Here is an 18,205-nt window from a genome sequence, read left to right as displayed (position 1 = left end):
ATGCATGTCAGCCTCGGTTTCCCTGCCTTGCACTCTGGTTCCTTACTAGGGCTACAGGCTTGCCCTCAACCCCAGTGTGCTTATACAGGGCCTAGGAGATGGCCTAATTCTAATCAGCTCCCTGAAACACTTTTTTTTTTCCCTTCGTACAATGCCCAGGCAGGAGTAGGGTCCTACTAGATCTGTCACCAGCACCTTGACGCATTGTCCTTGTCCCTTTCTGTTATCTTCCTGCTTCTGTGTGTGATCCACTGACTGGCTCACACTTCCTTCTCCCCAAGGACAGATTTTATTGAAATCTGTGCACACTGATCCTGCCCAAGGTCTGACACCAGTAATTCAAAAGCACTGGACCATTCGGTGGAGCTCAGATTGACTCCTGAAGGAACTGGTCCATCAGAATGCTCCAGAAGACACCCTCCCAGCTCAAGGGCCCTTGTGAATGAGTAAACGTTGCCCTTTCATCAACGTTGCCTGAGCCTGAGAGGGGGCTGATACCCACCTGAGAAGCGTCTTGTGGAAAAACTGCATCGAAGGCAAACATCTTTGGAGGAACCTGGTTGCCTCTCTTTTGGAAGGCATTTTGACCTCCACAAGTCAGGGGATCGTACAAGGTGATCTGCTTCTTCCGTGGGTCCACCTTTAAGAAAGAGCTGGATTCTGAAGTATCTCGAGCCAAGGTGGAACAGATGCGAAGCATGACTTTCACCTGTTAAGAAAAGATGGGCGACAGCATGGATGAAGACAGCTGGGTGTTTTACGATGGAGCACCCTTGTATACTCTGCGATATACATGCACATGGCAGCACTGAACTTTCTCAGGATAAATTATGATGAAATGCACAGTGAATTAGCAACATCATCCTTGGTGGGTCACGGGAAAACTGATTTATTTATAATTACCAGGTAGAATATTTTGATATGCCCATTACTTCAATATGGAGCTGGCACATCATGTTCTTTGTCTTCCTATTAATATAAATTGAATATTAACTGCGCCCTCGTGGCCCAATTACACAGATGAAAAGGTAGTCTGGACTGCCAAACTATAGGGGCTGGTGCAGTTTCCTTGAAGCTCACAGATCAATAAACCATGCACATAAAAGTTAGCTCCGTAATTTACTCCTTGGCTCAGCTCATCAGGACTCTGGGAGACAAAAATCCACAGTTATTAGTGTCATCATTAAAGAACCGTGAAATGGCCTGCTTTTAATGGCCAGCATTCGAAATGTGTTCCAAGGGGCAACAGTGATAAAAGACTGGTCTGCGACGTGTTATTTGGGATCCCATTAAGCGAGTGCAGAGAAGTTGTCGTTTCAGAGAATGGAAGTGCATCTCTGGAGGGAGCAGGAGGCGCTGCCCTTTAGCCCACTTTCTGCGTGATTGAACACTGAGCACCTCTGGTACCCACCACCAACCCAGCCCCGTCCTGCAGGCGAGCGAGGTGCTTATGGAAATGCACAGTCAGCCTTGGGGTTCTAAGGTGAACAGAAATCAGGCTGAGGCCTCACACGGGTCTGGAAGCTACAGTCCTGGGAAAAGGGACAGCATTTGCTCTAACTGGCTCTTTGTTACTGTGTTGTGAGTTCAGTCCAACAAATGATGGGCACTTTTTTTGAGCACCTACTATGTGCTGGGCACTGTGCTAGGCATGGGGGATGCAAAGATATGTAATGCATAGAGTAGCAGGATAGACACAGATACAGGTAATTTTAGTAATATGTGGCAACTTCGGAAGGTATGCACAAGGATTATTTCTAAATTCCTCTCTGTGTCTTGTTCTCTTTGTCTCATCAGTTGTCAGGTTTGGTGAAATCTCTGTCATGCAATTTTGAGGAGGAGGGGTGGTTGTAATTTTTAAATAAAATATTTTCAACATATAGAAATGCTCAGAGAATCATAATGTTGTTCAAGACGGAGATCCTCCTGCCAATCTCGACTCTCTCTGCTGAGCGATGAGGACTAATCTGCAGTGAGCAAAGCTGAAGGTAAAGAATCCCAAGGGCACTGGGTCCGCAGGTGTCCTGCACCGTGTCCCCGCTGTGCTTGCCTTCTAACTTAAGAACAGTTCTCCGTGGAGATCCGGAAGCCAGTGTCCCAGTAGAAGGAGCCCGAGTGTGGGACGCACTCTACCTCTGAGGGTTTAGATCTTGCTTCTCACACTGAGGTCATAGAAAGATCCCTGCCATTTTCTCTCATATGCCAGGACTATGCTGTTATCTACACGATCTCATTTAATCCTCCCAATGCTCCAGGGTGTAGGTATGCCTGTCCAGATTTTACAGATGAGAAAACTGTGTTATATAACTTGCCCCACATCACTGAACCTGTGGGTGGAAGACTGGACTTGGATCCCACCTCCAATGCCTACACTTTTTCCATCATGCCAGCTGCTGCCTCCCACAAACAGTCACACTTCTCAGAGCCCCCATTTCCTCACCTGTACAGTAGGAATAACAATGCCCGTCATATGGGCGGCTGTGCAAACTCAGTGAATGGGCATGTAAAGTGCTGAACATGGCCCAGGCTTGTCTTGAACTCCCACCTCTGCCTCCCAAAGCACTGGGTTTACAGGCATGGGTGCCACGCCCAGCCTCAAGCCTTACCATTAACGCTGTGATTGGAAAATGATAAGATATCATGATCCAGGAGGAGGCAAGTCAAGAGAGGAGGGAGGAAGAGATCTAGGAATTGAATGCCCAGCATGTGGGCAGAGGTGGGAGTTCAAGACAAGCCTGGGCAACATGGTGAGAGCCCATCTCTACAAAAAGTTAATTAAAAAAAAATAGCCAGGTGTGATGGTGCACACCTACAGGTGCCAGCTACTTGGGAGGTTGAGGTAGCAGGGTCACTTGAGCTCAGGAGTTCAAGGTTACAGTGAGCTATGATCATGCCACTGCACTCCAGCCTGGGTGACAGAGCGAGACCTTGTCTCTCAAAAACAAAACGGCCAGGCGTGGTGGCTCACGCCTGTAATCCCAGCACTTTGGGAGGCCGAGGCGGGCGGATCACAAGGTCAGGAGATAGAGACCATCCTGGCTAACACGGTGAAACCCCGTCTCTACTAAAAATACAAAAAATTAGCCGGGCATGGTGGCGGGCGCCTGTAGTCCCAGCTACTCGGGAGGCTGAGGCAGAAGAATGGCGTGAACCCGGGAAGCGGAGGTTGTGGTGAGCCAAGATCACGCCATTACACTCCAGCCTGGGCAACAAGAGTGAAACTCTGTATCAAAACAAAACAAAACATGATAAGGTTTTAGAACTCCTTGCCCTGGACTCTGGATAGCGTGAATCACAAGCAGGATACTGTGGGGGATTCCCGACAGACAGAGCTAGTTATGAAGCACTGGGCCCAACAAGGCTCCTATTAGTAAAACACAGTCAAATCCCACACAGCCGCTACATACAGGACAGTAACCAGTAGGTATATCTGCATTCCATTCTGGCAATTTTCTTATTCACTGTGACTTTCTAAGGTCTGATTTCAGTTCCACTCATTCCTACAGATCTGCCCCAGTTACACAGCATGTGTGCTAAGAGCATGCATTCAAGTCGCAACTTTGGGAAGGTCCCTGGGACCTTCAGGCTTTCTGTAAGCAAATCTCCTAGCCCAGCCTCTGAGCATTGCAAGTCAAGGATGATGCAACGCCAGGCAGAGCTGATGGAGCCCACAGCCCACTGCTTTTCTATTTCACAATTTTGCATGCAATTTCTGGGTAACCAGAGGTGCTGAATGTAAAATATGAGCTCAGCCAGGCGAGGGCTGACAAGGAGAAGCGGGAAAGAAGGGGCTGAATGAGTGAGTCATTGGTCCAGAAGGAATGCTCCTGCATCTTAACGAAATCCCGAGCCTGCGGCTCATTTTCTGCAGAGAGGCTGAAGATCCCAGTCGCTGGTCTGGCCAAAGAGATACACACAGTTCTTTAAAAACCCACTGAGCTCCGAGCTGGGGGAAAGGCCACACTCCATTCTTTTCTTTGCAATGCGTCTAAATAAATGGACTTTTTTTTCCCTTAAAGGAAGGAAATTAAGTTTTTCTGCTTCACCTCCTTTGTATCATTATTCCTTTAGTCCGGCACTCCACTTCCTGCTTAATCTGCTATAATTAAAGTGCTTAGGAGATACCACTTGTGATCAAGAAAGTCCCTCGGACTTGTTGCCAGGAGTTCTTGCTTTTGTCACTAACACCCTTAGGTTCTTGGCAACATCTCCTCCAGCCCCGCCTCTCCCTGCTGCTCTCCAGAGAGGGTCCAGGCAGCTGTTAACAGGCACGGCCTTCTCCCCAGCTCTCGGGCTCAAAGGGACGGTCACTATTTCACTCCCAAGGGTAGACCTGCAGGGAATGGGATCCAGAAAGCTAAAGGAACAGCCTGAGTGGTGGCCAGGAAGGCCCCCTGACACCCTGATTCAAGCAAGAAGAGACTGGCATTTCCTGCACCCAAGTCCCCACTGGTCGGGACCTCGCTCTGCCCTGTTTGTTTATTCCACGGATGGATTGGGACAGCTGTTGCTCTGGACAGCAGTTGTCTTTATGTCCTGCTCATTAATCAGTTCAGCACCTTGTTCTGGACGGCATCATGGGGCTGAGGGAGAAAGGAACTGTGAGACACTCACCGAGAGAGGCAGAGCCTCGCTCCCAAACTGCACAGACACTCCATCGACATGGAGGTGATCGCTGCCACACAGCCTGACTGGAGGCTGAGGAGGAGCAGCCCCGTCATCTCTCACCGTGACCACTACACGTGATCACAGCAGACAGATATTCCTGTTTTTCCCTCGTCACGGAGCGTAGCCACATGGTGCACATGTAGGAGGCTCTTCATGGCCTGTTTCTCTACCCAGAAGCTGTCCAGCTAGAGGTTTTCTGCAGACTCAAGCGTTCAGGAGGGCTATGGGCAAATGTGACCACTGGAAGGATCCCTCAGCAGTAAGAAAAAGACTACAGATGATAAGAAGGTGGCAGGAGCAAGGGAGAACTCCATCAGCGCTTCTCATGCATGAGCTTTGTTTCAACTCACTTTGTGGATACCCACAATGAAGGCCCTCTACAGACACACAGGAACCCGAGTCTTGGCCACAATAAATGCCCAGTAAGAGTGTGTAGGTGATGATAAATAGTTTTTACCCCTACAAGGTTCTAGGCTACAGAGTTAATTCACCACTGGCCTCTTCTGATCCCTTATCATCTCTCTATCTGAACTAAAGGAGCATGCTCTAACCCAATACAAGGAAGCTAAGAACCTTGAAAAAAGGTTAGAGGAATTGCTAACTAGAATAGCCAGTTTAGAGAAGAACACAAATGACCTGATGGAGTTGAAAAACACAGCATGAGAACTTCATGAAGCACACACAGTATCAATAGCTGAATCGATCAAGCGGAAGAAAGGATAGCAGAGATTGAAGATCAACTTAGTGAAATAAAGCGTGAAGACAAGATTAGAGAAAAAAGAATGAAAAGGAATGAACAAAGCCTCCAAGAAATATGGAACTATGTGAAAAGACCAAACCTATGTTTGATTGGTGTACCTGAAAGTGATAGGGAGAATGGAACCAAGTTGGAAACCACTCTTCAGGATATTATCCAGGAGAATTTCCTCAAACTAGCAGGACAGGCCAACATTTAAATTCAGAATATATAGAGAACACCAAAAAGATACTCCTCGAGAAGAGCAACCCCAAGACACAAAATCGTCAGATTCACCAAGGTTGAAATGATGGAAAAATGTTATGGGCACTAGAGAGAAAGGTCAGGTTACCCACAAAGGGAAGCCCATCTTCCCTAGACTAACAGCAGATCTCTCTGCAGAAACCCTACAAGCCAGAAGAGGGTGGGGGCCAATAGTCAACACTCTTAAAGAATTTTCAACCCAGAATTTCATATCCAGCCAAACTAAGCTTCATAAGCAAAGGAGAAATAAAATCCCTTACAGACAGGCAAATGCTGAGAGATTTTGTCACCACCAGGCCTGCCTTACAAGAGCTCCTGAAGGAAGCACTAAACATGGAAAGGATCAACTGGTACCAGCCCACTGCACAAAGATACCAAATTGTAAAGACCATTCATGCTATGAAAAAACTGCATCGACTAATGGGAAAAATAACCAGCTAGCATCATAATGACAGGATCAAATTCACACATAACAATATTAACCTTAAATGTAAATGGGCTAAATGCCCCAATTAAAAGATATAGACTGGCAAATTGGATAAAGAGTCAAGACCCATCAGGGTGCTGTATTCAGGAGACCCATCTGAGTCACACATAGCCTCAAAATAAAGGGATGGAGGAAGATTTACCAAGCAAATGGAAAACAAACAAAAAAAGCAAGGGTTGCGGTCGTAGTGTCTGATAAAACAGACTTTAAACCAACAAAGATTAAAAAAAGACAATTAAGGCGTTACATAATGGTAAAGGGGTCAATGCAACAAGCAGAGCTAATGATCCTAAATATATATGCACCCAATACAGGAGCACCCAGATTCGCAAAGCAAATTCTCAGAGACCTACAAAGAGATTTAGACTCCCACACAATAATAGTGGGAGACTTTAACATCCCACTGTCAATATTAGAGCAACGAGACAGAAAATTAATAAGGATATTCAGGGCTTGAACTCAGCTCAGGACTGAGTGAACCTAAAAGACATCTACAGAACTCTCCAACCCAAATCAACAGAATATACATTCTTCTCAGCACCACATATTCTGAAATCGACCACATAATTGGAAGTAAATGCAAAAAAATGAAAATCATAACAAACAGTCTCTCAGACCACACTGCAATCAAATTAGAACTCAGGGTTAAGAAACTCACTCAAAACTGCACAACTACATGGAAACTGAACAACCTGCTTCTGAATGACTATTGGGTAAATAATGAAATGAAGGCAGAAATAAATAATTTCTTTGAAACCAATGAGCACAAAGACACAACATACCAGAATCTCTGGGACACATTTAAAGCAATGTTTAGAGGGAAATTTATAGCACTCAATGTCCACAGGAGAAAGCAGGAAAGATCTAAAATCGACACCCTAACATCACAATTAAAAGAACTAGAGAAGCAAGAGCAAACAGATTCAAAAGCTAGCAGAAGGCAAGAAATAACTAAGATCAGAGCAGAACTGAAGGAAATAGAGACACAAAAAATCCTTCAAAAAATCAATGAATCCAGGAGCTGGTTTTTTGAAAAGATTATCAAAATAGACCGCTAGCCAGACTAACAAAGAAGAAAAGAGAGAAGAATCAAATAGACACAATAAAAAATGATAAAGGGGATATCACCACTGATCCCACAGAAATACAAACTACCGTCAGAGAATACTATGAACACCTCTATGCAAATAAACTACAAAATCTAGAAGAAATGGATAAATTCCTGGACACATACACCCTCCCAAGCCTAAACCAAGAAGAAGTCGAATCCCTGAATAGATCAATATCTAGTTCTGAAATTGAGGCAGTAATTTCGCAGCCTACCAACCAAAAAAAGCCCAGGACCAGACAGATTCACAGCTGAATTCTACCAGAGGTACAAAGAAGAGCTGATACCATTCCTTCTGAAACTATTCCAAACTATAGAAAAAGAGGGACTCCTCCCTAACCCATTTTATGAGGCCAGAATCATCCTGATACCAAAACCTGGCAGAGACACAACAAAAAAAGAAAATTTCAGGCCAATATCCCTGATGAACATCGATGTGAAAATCCTCAATAAAATACTGGCAAACTGAATCCAGCAGCACATCAAAAAGCTTATCCACCACGATCAGGTCGGCTTCATCTTTGGGATGCAAGGCTGGTTCAACATACGCAAATCAATAAATGTAAGCCATCACATAAACAGAACGAATGACAAAAACCACGATTATCTCAATAGATGCAGAAAAGGCCTTCAACAAAATTCAACACCCCTTCATGCTAAAAACTCTCAGTAAATTAGGTATCGATGAAACGTTTCTCAAAATAATAAGAGCTATTTATGACAAACCCACAGCCAATATCATACTGAATAGGCAAAAGCTGGAAGCATTCCCTTTGAAAACCAGCACAATACAAGAATGCCCTCTCTCACCACTCCTATTCAATATGGTATTGGAAGTTCTGGCCAGGGCGATCAGGCAAGAGAAAGAAATAAAGGGTATCCAAATAGGAAGAGAGTAAGTCAAATTGCCTGTTTGCAGATAACATGATTCTATATTTAGAAAACCCCGTCGTCTCAGCCCAAAATCTCCTTAAGCTGATAAGCAAATTCAGGAAAGTCACAGGATACAAAATCATTGTGCAAAAATCACAAGCCTTCCTATACACCAGTAATAGACAGAGAGCCAAATCATGAGTGAACTCCCATTCACAATTGCTACAAAGAGAATAAAATACCTAGGAATACAACTTACAAGGGATGTGAAGGACCTCTTCAAGGGGAAATACAAACCACTGCTCAAGAAAATAAGAGAGGACACAAACAAATGGAAAAACATTCTATGCTTATGGAAAGGAAGAAACAATATCGTGAATATGGCCACACTGCCCAAAATAATTTATAGATTCAATGCTATTCCCACCAAGCTACCATTGACTTTCTTCATAGAATTAGAAAAAACTACTTTAAATTTCATTTGGAACCAAAAAAGAGCCCATATAGCCAAGACAATCCTAAGCAAAAAGAACAAAGCTGGAGGCATCACGCTACCTGACCTCAAATTATACTACAAGGCTACACTAACCAAAACAGCATGGTACTGGTACCAAAACAGAGATATAGACAAATGTAACAGAACAGAGGCCTCAGAAATAACACCACACATCTACAATAATCTGGTCTTTGACAAACCTGACAAAACAAGCAATGGGGAAAGGATTCCCTATTTAATAAATGGTGTTGGGAAAACTGGCTAGCCATATGCAGAAAACTGAAACCGGACCCCTTCCTTATACCTTATACAAAAAGTAACTCAAGTTGGATTAAAGACTTAAATGTAAGACCTAAAACCATAAAACACCCTAGACAAAAATCTAGGCAATACCATTCAGGACATAGGCATGGGCAAAGACTTCATGTCTAAAACACCAAAAGCAATGGCAACAAAAGCCAAAATTGACAAATGGGATCTAATTAAACTAAGAGCTTCTGCACAGCAAAAGAAACTATCATCAGAGTGAACAGGCAACCTACAGAATGGAAGAAAATTTTTGCAATCTATTCATCTGACATAGGGCTAATATCCAGAATCTACAAAGAACTTAAACAAATTTACAAGAAAAAAACAAACCCATCAAAAAGCGGGAGAAGGATATGAACAGACACTTCTCAAAAGAAAACATTTATGTGGCCAACAAACATATGAAAAAAAGCTCATCATCACTGGTCATTAGGGAAATGCAAAGCAACACCACAATGAGATACCATCTCACACCAGTTAGAATGGCGATCATTAAAAAGTGAGGAAACAACAGATGCTGGAGAGGATGTGGAGAAATAGCAATGCTTTTACACTTTTGGTGGGAGTGTAAATTAGTTCAACCATTGTGGAAGACAGTGTGGTGATTCCTCAAGGATCTAGAACCAGAAATACCATTTGACCCAGCAATCCCATTACTGGGTATATACCCAAAGGATTATAAATCATTCTACTATAAAGACACATGCACACGTATGTTTATTGTGGCACTGTTCACAATAGCAAAGACTTGGAACCAACCCAAATGCCCATCAATGATAGACAGAATAAAGAAAATGTGGCACATATACACCATGGAATACTATGCAGCCATAAAAAAGGATGAGTTCATGTCCTTTGCAGGGACATGGATGAAGCAGGAAACCATCATTCTCAGCAAACTAATACAGGAATAGAAAACCAAACACTGCATGTTCTCACTCATAAGTGGGAGTTGAACAATGAGAATACATGGACACAGGGAGGGGAACATCATACACCGGGGCCTGTTGGGGGCTGGGGAGCTAGGGGAGGGATAGCATTAGGAGAAATACCTAATGTAGATGACGGGTTGATGGGTGCAGCAAACCACCATGGCATGTGTATACCTATGTAACAAACCTGCACATTCTATACATGTATCCCAGAACTGAAAGTATAATTAAAAAACAAAAAACAAACCCAGGTTTTATAAAAGGAAAAGATTTGAATACTTTTCTGGTAAAATTTCCATCAGTGATCTAAAATTGCTTCTTCCAAAGGAAGATCTTTTTGATTCCATATGACTGAAAGACTCCAGAAGTTTTTTGGGGTACCAAAGAGTCATATTCCAGATGGCAATGATCATGGAGGTCTTACATAACTCCAATGCCAGGAAATCCAGGGGACAACTAAGGAGGCTGTGATCCCTCAATTCAGAGGGAGCTTTTAAACATATTTTACAAAGCCATTGCTCCATCAACCCATAGTTACCATTACAGAACCACAGACCCATGCCTGAAAGGACCCCAGAGACTCTGAGCACAGTTCAGTTATGAGTTACAGAACAAAAGTAAATTGGCTTAAATTTCTTTGCCCAAACAAAACACACAATAATAATCCTGCATGACATGTTCAAAGATCAGGGGGCTTTATCCACCTGGAGAAAGTCCAAAGCCATATGATTCCATGCTGAGTTTGGGGGTGGGAGGGCAGATGAGGGGGCTGGGGTGCCCTCCAGGCCTACTTTGGGGCAGCGACTGCTCCGTGTTGACCAAATCAATCAATCATCCATCAGCAACACCACCACAACTTCTTTACAAGTTTTACAAATCTTACAGTTTATACAGACTTTTCTCGTATCTTACTTCCATTTGGTTGCCCCATAACTGCTTTGTTAAGGGGATATTATTATAATAATTATTACCATCTTTCCTATTTTGAGGCTGCAGAGATTGACTTGCTCAAAGGCACCTGCCTGGCGAAGGTGGAAGGGCCCTGGCCCTGGACTGCTCTTCCCTCCATGAGCATCTTGGGTCATAGCCAGAGCGGAGCCATCTCTCAGGAGACTGGGGCGGGCAGTGGGGCCTGCGCCTGCACCCTGGGCGGCTGGCTTCTCCGAGGTGCCGCTGGGTGAGCTCCCGTGGTGCCAGACAGCAAATAATGAGCAGCGATGCCATCAGAGAGGGAAGATTTGCATTATTAAAAACCGGGCCGGGAAAGGTGACAAGTGGTGGCACAATAAAGCTAAGTGTGAGGGAGCATGTGCAGGACGGGAGAATGGAGCCCGGTAATGAGATGTGCTCTAAGAAGCGCTTCGGGGAGCGGAGGGGGAAGGAAATTCCCTAAAGGTCTTCATCAACACGAGTCTGTCACCAGGCAAGCCCGGCAAGGGACTGCGCGCTGGAGGGAGGGAGTTGAAACCAAGGAAGAAAGCCCTTCCCCGTGAGGCACTGCTAATGGCCGGCAGGCTTGGGGGGCCAGGTCCCCCCACCAATTAGCAGGCGTGGGACAGGGCTGGCCAGGCTGCAAGGATGGAGACAGACACATGTCGGGGGCTGGTCTGTCAGAAAGGATTGGGACTCTGACGGTGGCCTAGTTAGAAGGGGCCTCATCCTCAGCTTGTTGTATTAGGGAACTGATTTTAAATGGATGAGCTGGTGTAAAGATGCATCCAGAGACAGGCGTTCTCAGGTGTGAATGAAGTGGGGAATGGGATTCTGAGGCATGCCTGATGACCCACTCCGACCTCAGTGACACTCGCTGTCAGAGCGTCCCATCTGCGACTTACAGGGCACATGGCCTAGAGCTTGGGGGCACAGGCTCTGGAGACAGGCGGCCTGGGTTTGAGTGCTGGCTGTACGTTGATCAGTATGTGTCCATGCACGAGTGTTTAACCTCCTCTGTCCACATCTATAAATCGGCCATAATAACAGTACTGGCCTAGCAGAGTTACTGTGATCATTAAAAGAGCAAATGCCCATAACATCCCTTTCCACAATGTCAGTGACATAGTAAGTGCTCAGTAAATATTAGCTATTATTACTTTTTACTGAGGCTACTGGAAAGACTATGAACTCTGAAGGCAGACAGATCCTGACTCTTGGTCGCTGTGTGACCAGGAATATATTATTTTAACATAGTTTCCTCATTAGTAAAATGGCGATAATAATGCCTATCTTGAAGGACTTACGTGACTATTAAGCAAATAATTATCCTAAGCACTTAAAACAAAGTACGTCCTCAATAAATAATAATTGCCAACATATTGAACCCATGTCCATGACAGTGTTGTAAGAGCCCATTCCTCACTGCTTCCCTGGATCTCCCTTTAACCACGTTTGACCTAGGAGTTCAGGAGACCTAATCATTAGATTCTGAATCATCCTACACTCACAGAGCTGAGACAGACACCACACTTGCCCAACGTCATCCAATTTTTTTTTTTTTTTTTCTTTTTTTTGAGACAGGATCTCACTGTCACCCAGGCTGGAGTGCACTGGTGTGAGCTCTGCTCACTGCAACCGCTGCCTCCCAGGCTCAAGTGATCCTCCCACTTCAGCCTCCCAAGTAGCTAGGATGACGCACACATACAACCACACCCAGCTAATTTTTAAATTTCTTGTACAGACAGGGTTTTTCTATGTTGTCCGGGCTGGTCTTGAACTCCTGGACTCAAGTGATCCTCCTGCCTTGGACTCCCAACGTGCTGGGAATACAGGCGTGAGCCACCGTGCCCGGCCTGGACGCCCAGTTTTTATAGACGCGGGTTACACTAAGGTCTTCCAACTTCCACCACGCTCTTCTGCCTGATTTTTGGTAAACACTGGGTAAGTGACAACTGGAGGTTTTTCTGAATACTTGGTAGAAAAACTACTGTGAGTAGAAATGGTAAATATCCATTGGAAAGAGAAAATATTTAATAGCACAGAAGGAATTTTTGAGAAAGCAGCAGTGGACGCTCCTTAATTAGAATTTTTTTAGATGTGTTCAGTTTGGATTTTGGCACTTATTGTGAATAAAGGGCCCATTTCCGCGTTGGCCGTCCCCTCCCGCGGGGCCCAGCCGCCCCGGGGGCACAAACCCGGGACCCCAGGGACCCCGGGACCCTGCGCATGCGCGGCACGGTGCGGCCAGGGGCCCCGACCCCTGCTCTGACTCGCCGGGTGGTTTGTGCTTCCACCGGCGCCTCGGCCTCCCCTTGCAGGCCTCCCTGCCACGTTGGGCACCCCCACCCCCCGACCCCGCGGGGCCCAGCCGCCACAGAGGCGGCTTATTGTTAATAAAGGGCCCACATGAGTAAAGCTCACTCATGTGTTACGACTGTCGTTAAATAGCAAACAGTCAAGAGATGCTGCGTCTGCAGACGCAGACTCGTCTGTCAGCACAGAGATGCTATTTGGCTTGGAGAACAACAGGACCCAGGCAAAGCTGCTTTTCTTCTCTGCAGCTCACTGCATGATCAATATGAAAACTTGAGCTTGCTAACATGGCACCCGATTTAGTGTCTTCTGTACCTCCTTGCCACAGTCTCTCCACTTCTGAGAATTTCAATATCCCACTGCTTCTGGCCTTTCACCTAGATCAGTAACGTCCAGAACTCTGAAAAGAAGTAACTCAGTCTGGTGTCTGCCCAGAAATACCAGCTACCAGATCCACCGTGGAGTTTGGCAAAGCACCGTAATCAACAACCTAGTTATCTAAGACAAAGAGGCAATGACCACACTCGCCTAATAATTAGGTATACTGGATGTCTTTCTGGCGTTGTTCCCCAAAGTCCATTTTCTTTATAAAACTGTCTTTGAGGAAAACGGTCTGTGCTGGCTCCCAAGTTCCATTAAATGTGTGCAGCTCCCATGAGATGATAATTTTGTTCCTGGCAGTGGCACGTACGGAGGAGACCTGCAGAAGGAGCTAGGGGTGACAGCATCAGCCCCCTTCTCAGTGCCGCCTGGGGACAGATGGCAGGCACGTAAATACAGACCGCATTCAGTTCATCATAAAGGCCTTGCCAGCCTGCGAGATCACAGCCTGGTGGTGAAAAGAAGGCGTCCTTCTCCAGGCCCACTGCGGAAGGTGGGAAGCCCTTTCTAAAATACCCCTGGGCAGTGGGCTATTTCTCCAGCCTGGGACTCTGCAGCTTAGTTCCAGGAAGGAGAGGAAGGAAGAATCCAAGAAACTAAGGGAATTGCCCTAGTAAGGAAAACCACCGAAGGGATCTTTTGGGTCAAGAGGTGGAAATCTGGAACGGTCTTATCTAAAATGTAGGATGTTAGGTAAATTTAACTTTCTTAAGAGCCCGACGTATACTGAATGGATCACTGCACCAAACGCTACGTTCTCGTAACTTCCCCACACTAAAAGAGGGGAGAAGAGGGAGTCAGAAGGAGGAACAGAGAAATTATGCCACTATCCCTGGGACTTGGTACATCTTAGATACTTTCATTCTCATTCAACCAATAAGTAAGAGCAAGAACGTCCAGTAACTGCCCACAGTTACCCCAATTCTTTCCCCATCAGTTCTTCCAAAAGGCCCCCTTTCCCAGGACTGCATCTGTTCAATTCCACTCAGCATGTGTTGAACACACAGTATGTACAATGCCCTGAGCCAGCGAGGGGCAGGAAGGAGACCCAGAGGATGGGGAACCAGTTGGGTTTACGCATAAAACAAAAGGGAGATGGTGGCATTTCCACGTAAGAGTTCCTTCATTTTCAAGTTTTAGGTTTGGAACAAAAGCAACTTTAATTCTCTGCTTAGCTCCAATGAGTCCCAGTCATCCTGCTGCCATCTTGTTGGAAGGACTGGAGGGGGTCTGAGTGCAGGGGACAGCCTGGGTGAAGTGAAGGACGGGTTGATAAGAAGAGGGGCCCAGTGAAGCCCAGCTGGAGGAAAGGAGCAAACGCTAATGAGACGCTCCGCCACCTCCCGCCAGAGGCAAGCCACTGACTGCCCCTTTAATTCCCTTCACCGCCCCTCCGCCTGGCAGAGAAGTGCTTGCTGGCAGTGGGAGACTCAAAGCAGCAGGAGTTCAAAGCAGAATGGTAAGTTCTAATACGGAGGATCATTAGGAGGACGTGTCTTCTCTTTATTTTCTTCTTAAAATGTGTATATGGAAGATCAGATGGGGGTTAGGGAGGGAAGTACCAACTCAATGTGAAAATTACCTAATCCCAGTCTGTTCCAGTGTGCATATCATAAGCATTAAACAAAAAGCCTCACCAAATTAAAGTATATGCCGTATTCCAACAATGATAATCCCCTCTGCATGAAAGGCTGGGGCTGTGGAGGAGGCTGAGGGGAGCGTTTCCTCTGTAGCCGAGGGGCTTGGAAACCTTTAATGAAAGGCACCTGATCAATAAGGCAGACTCCTGCATTTGAGAACTTAAAAGCCTTCCTAGCACACTGTGTCTGAAGGAAACGTCAGAAGCATTTATCATGTGCTGGGACGGATGCTTTGCAGCTGCTGCTTGCCAAACTATAGATGTTAACTTTTCTTCAGCCCTGCAAATACTCTCACCAGGCCTTTTCTCTTCATACGGAATCAGCTTTCCTCCAAGACCAGAATGCAGTTGGAGGTTTGATCACGGCTCTGTAGAACAGTCCCCACTACCAGGCACTGAGACTGCAAAGTGGTCCCAGCCTGAAGCTTTGTTTCAGAGCTCTGGCTTACGTAGAGCTGTCTGATCTTGCCTTCAAGGTGAACCTACAAACTACACTTTTGTATTTCCAAAGCACTCAAGCTGCTGTTCCCTAATTGAGGCACTGTGCACAGTTCATCTTGTTTGGACTTAGAAACCTCAGTCTAGAAGAAACTAGCCCAAGGGATACAGACGGGACGGAACAATGGCCGGCAGCTCTCCCGGACTCCTGGCCACTCCCCAAATGAGTCTAGAAGATAAGCAACCAGGTGAGAAATCCATTCCTTCCTTCACTAAGCATCTGTTAAGTACCCCTTAATCTGGTCCAGGTACTGTGCGAGGCTCTGGGGTTATAAAGAGCTTAAAAACGAGTTGCTGTCTTCAAGGGGCTTACGGTTTATCAGGTGAGACAATAAAAAAACACCCCAGCATAATAGAGTAGTACAAAAGAGTTGTGTACTGGGGTTCAGTGAGGACCCAAATGAGGGGGCATTTCCACTTGGGGCCAGGAAAGATTTCATAAATATGTTCATGGATGAGGTTCAGAAGAGGACTCAGTGTCAGCTGTGCGCTCTAGGTGAGTGGGCAGCATGGCCAAGGTGCAGGGGGGCAGGCTGACCGGTGTCTTGGAACCTGCAAGTAGCCATGGGGCTTGGGGCAAGGTACTTCTATGAGCCTCAGTTTCCTCACCCGTATGATGGGATGGCAATCATGCCTCCACCTGAGAGAAGTTGTGATGAGGATTAAATGAGATAATGCATGAGAAGTTCTCGGCAAATAGCCCGGCACGTGGGAAGGGCTCAGTGAGTATTGTTTGATGTTTTTTTTTTTTTTTTTGAGACGGAGTCTCGCTCTGTCACCCAGGCCGGACTGCGGACTGCAGTGGCGCAATCTCGGCTCACTGCAAGCTCCGCTTCCCGGGTTCACGCCATTCTCCTGCCTCAGCCTCCCGAGTAGCTGGGACTACAGGCGCCCGCCACCGCGCCCGGCTAATTTTTTGTATTTTTTTTAGTAGAGACGGGGTTTCACCTTGTTAGCCAGGATGGTCTCGATCTCCTGACCTCATGATCCACCCGCCTCGGCCTCCCAAAGTGCTGGGATTACAGGCGTGAGCCACCGCGCCCGGCCTGTTTGATGTTTGACTGTAGTTGAGGGTGGAGGAGAAGTAAGAAATTTGGCTGGAAGAATAGAGGAATGACAAATTGTGGAGGGACTCCTTTCCTCAAACTAAAAAGTCTGTACTTAACCCAGACAACAGAGGGCCACTGGAGGGACAGAGAAGGAAAATAACTGGGTGATTACCACTGCTCTGTAATCACAAAACTCCAGGTGTTAATTTCTCCATCTGTAAAATAATGCTAATAACACCACCAACTTTCTTCCAATTTGGAGTGTTATGAAGTTAGTTATAGATGGGCCAGGTGGCTCATGCCTGCAATCCCAGCACTTTGGGAGGCCAGGGTAGGATAATTGCTTTAGGCCAGGAGTTTGAAATCAGCAACATAGCAAGACCCCGTCTCTATTAAAACAAACACACACACACACACACACACACACACACACACACACACTGGTCATGGTGGTGTGTGCCTATAGTGCCAGCTACTTGGGAGGCTGAGGCAGGAGGAGCACTTGAACCTAGAAGTTTGAGGTTATAGTGAGCTATGATCACACAGCACTGCATTCCAGCCTGGGTCACAGAGGCAGACCCTGTCTCTAAAAACATTAAAAAACTAAAAAAATGTATTCTAAGTGAAGCTAAAGATGAAAATGTTTGTGCAACTTGCACTTCCACAGCACAGCATTTTTAAATGTGTCGACTACGTGTTCAATGAGTTTTCTGCAGGGATTGTGTAGATGACACAACTGTAGTTAAGAGTCGGCTGTATGCATGCTAGTAGCAGCCATGTGATTGGCATGAAGGATAATGAATCAGTCAACCAACAAATGAATATTTATTAAATGCTGATGAGTAATGCAGTCTCCTTTACCTAGGAAACCTAAGGATGACAATGTATTTGAATTCATGGAAAGAATCAGAGACAGATCTGCTTCGGAACTCTCGAGAAGAGAAAGCTTGTTTTACAGTAATATACATAAATCCACAGGATGTAGGCTGCACTCCTCTAGCCATGGAATAGAACATACTGGAGGTAGCTAGGGAGCTGCCTGACAGAGAAACATCTTTTTTTTTTTTCCCTAGTGGAGAAGGAACGGCAGCCCTGGCTCCTCCATCCTCAGGATCACGTATTAATTAGCTCACCGACTAGACAGACATTTCTCTGTCCTGCCTCTGACTCATACTCCAAGTTAGTGATTGGGTTTCTGTCTCCTAACGGAAACAGCACAGACTCTTTACTTTGTAAACTTTTATAAGGCAATTGGCCACCTAATTTGAACTCCCTAGACACGTTTTTGTTTAAACAACTGTGGGTTGCAGGGAATTGGTTTCACATACGCACACAAAGGAAAACTCTTATTTTCTTACCAAGAACGGTGCATAGTTTAAGTTCTCAGACTTCATGTTGAAACACAGATTGTTGGTTTCCCCTCCCAGAGTTTCTGATTCAGTGGGTCTGGGGTAGGGCCTGACAATTTGCATTTCTAACAGTTTCCAGCTGATGGGGATCATGCTGGTCTGGGGACCAC

The 18,205-nt window shown here is 45.8% G+C and overlaps 1 protein-coding gene across 1 annotated transcript in view; it reads right to left on the bottom strand.

The window, feature by feature from the left end:
- Nucleotides 1-18,205, bottom strand: part of KIF26B (kinesin family member 26B) — a 554,448-nt gene that overhangs the window by 106,147 nt on the left and 430,096 nt on the right. The window contains exon 6 of the mRNA NM_018012.4: nt 503-709. Within this exon, the coding sequence (NP_060482.2) occupies nt 503-709 (207 nt within the window). The remainder of the gene's footprint in view (nt 1-502; nt 710-18,205) is intronic.

Source organism: Homo sapiens, chromosome 1 (genome assembly GCF_000001405.40).
Source record: "Homo sapiens chromosome 1, GRCh38.p14 Primary Assembly".
Classification (NCBI taxonomy): Eukaryota; Metazoa; Chordata; class Mammalia; order Primates; family Hominidae; genus Homo; species Homo sapiens.
Note: the sequence above shows the minus strand (reverse complement) of the source record. Positions and strands in the feature narration are given on the sequence as shown.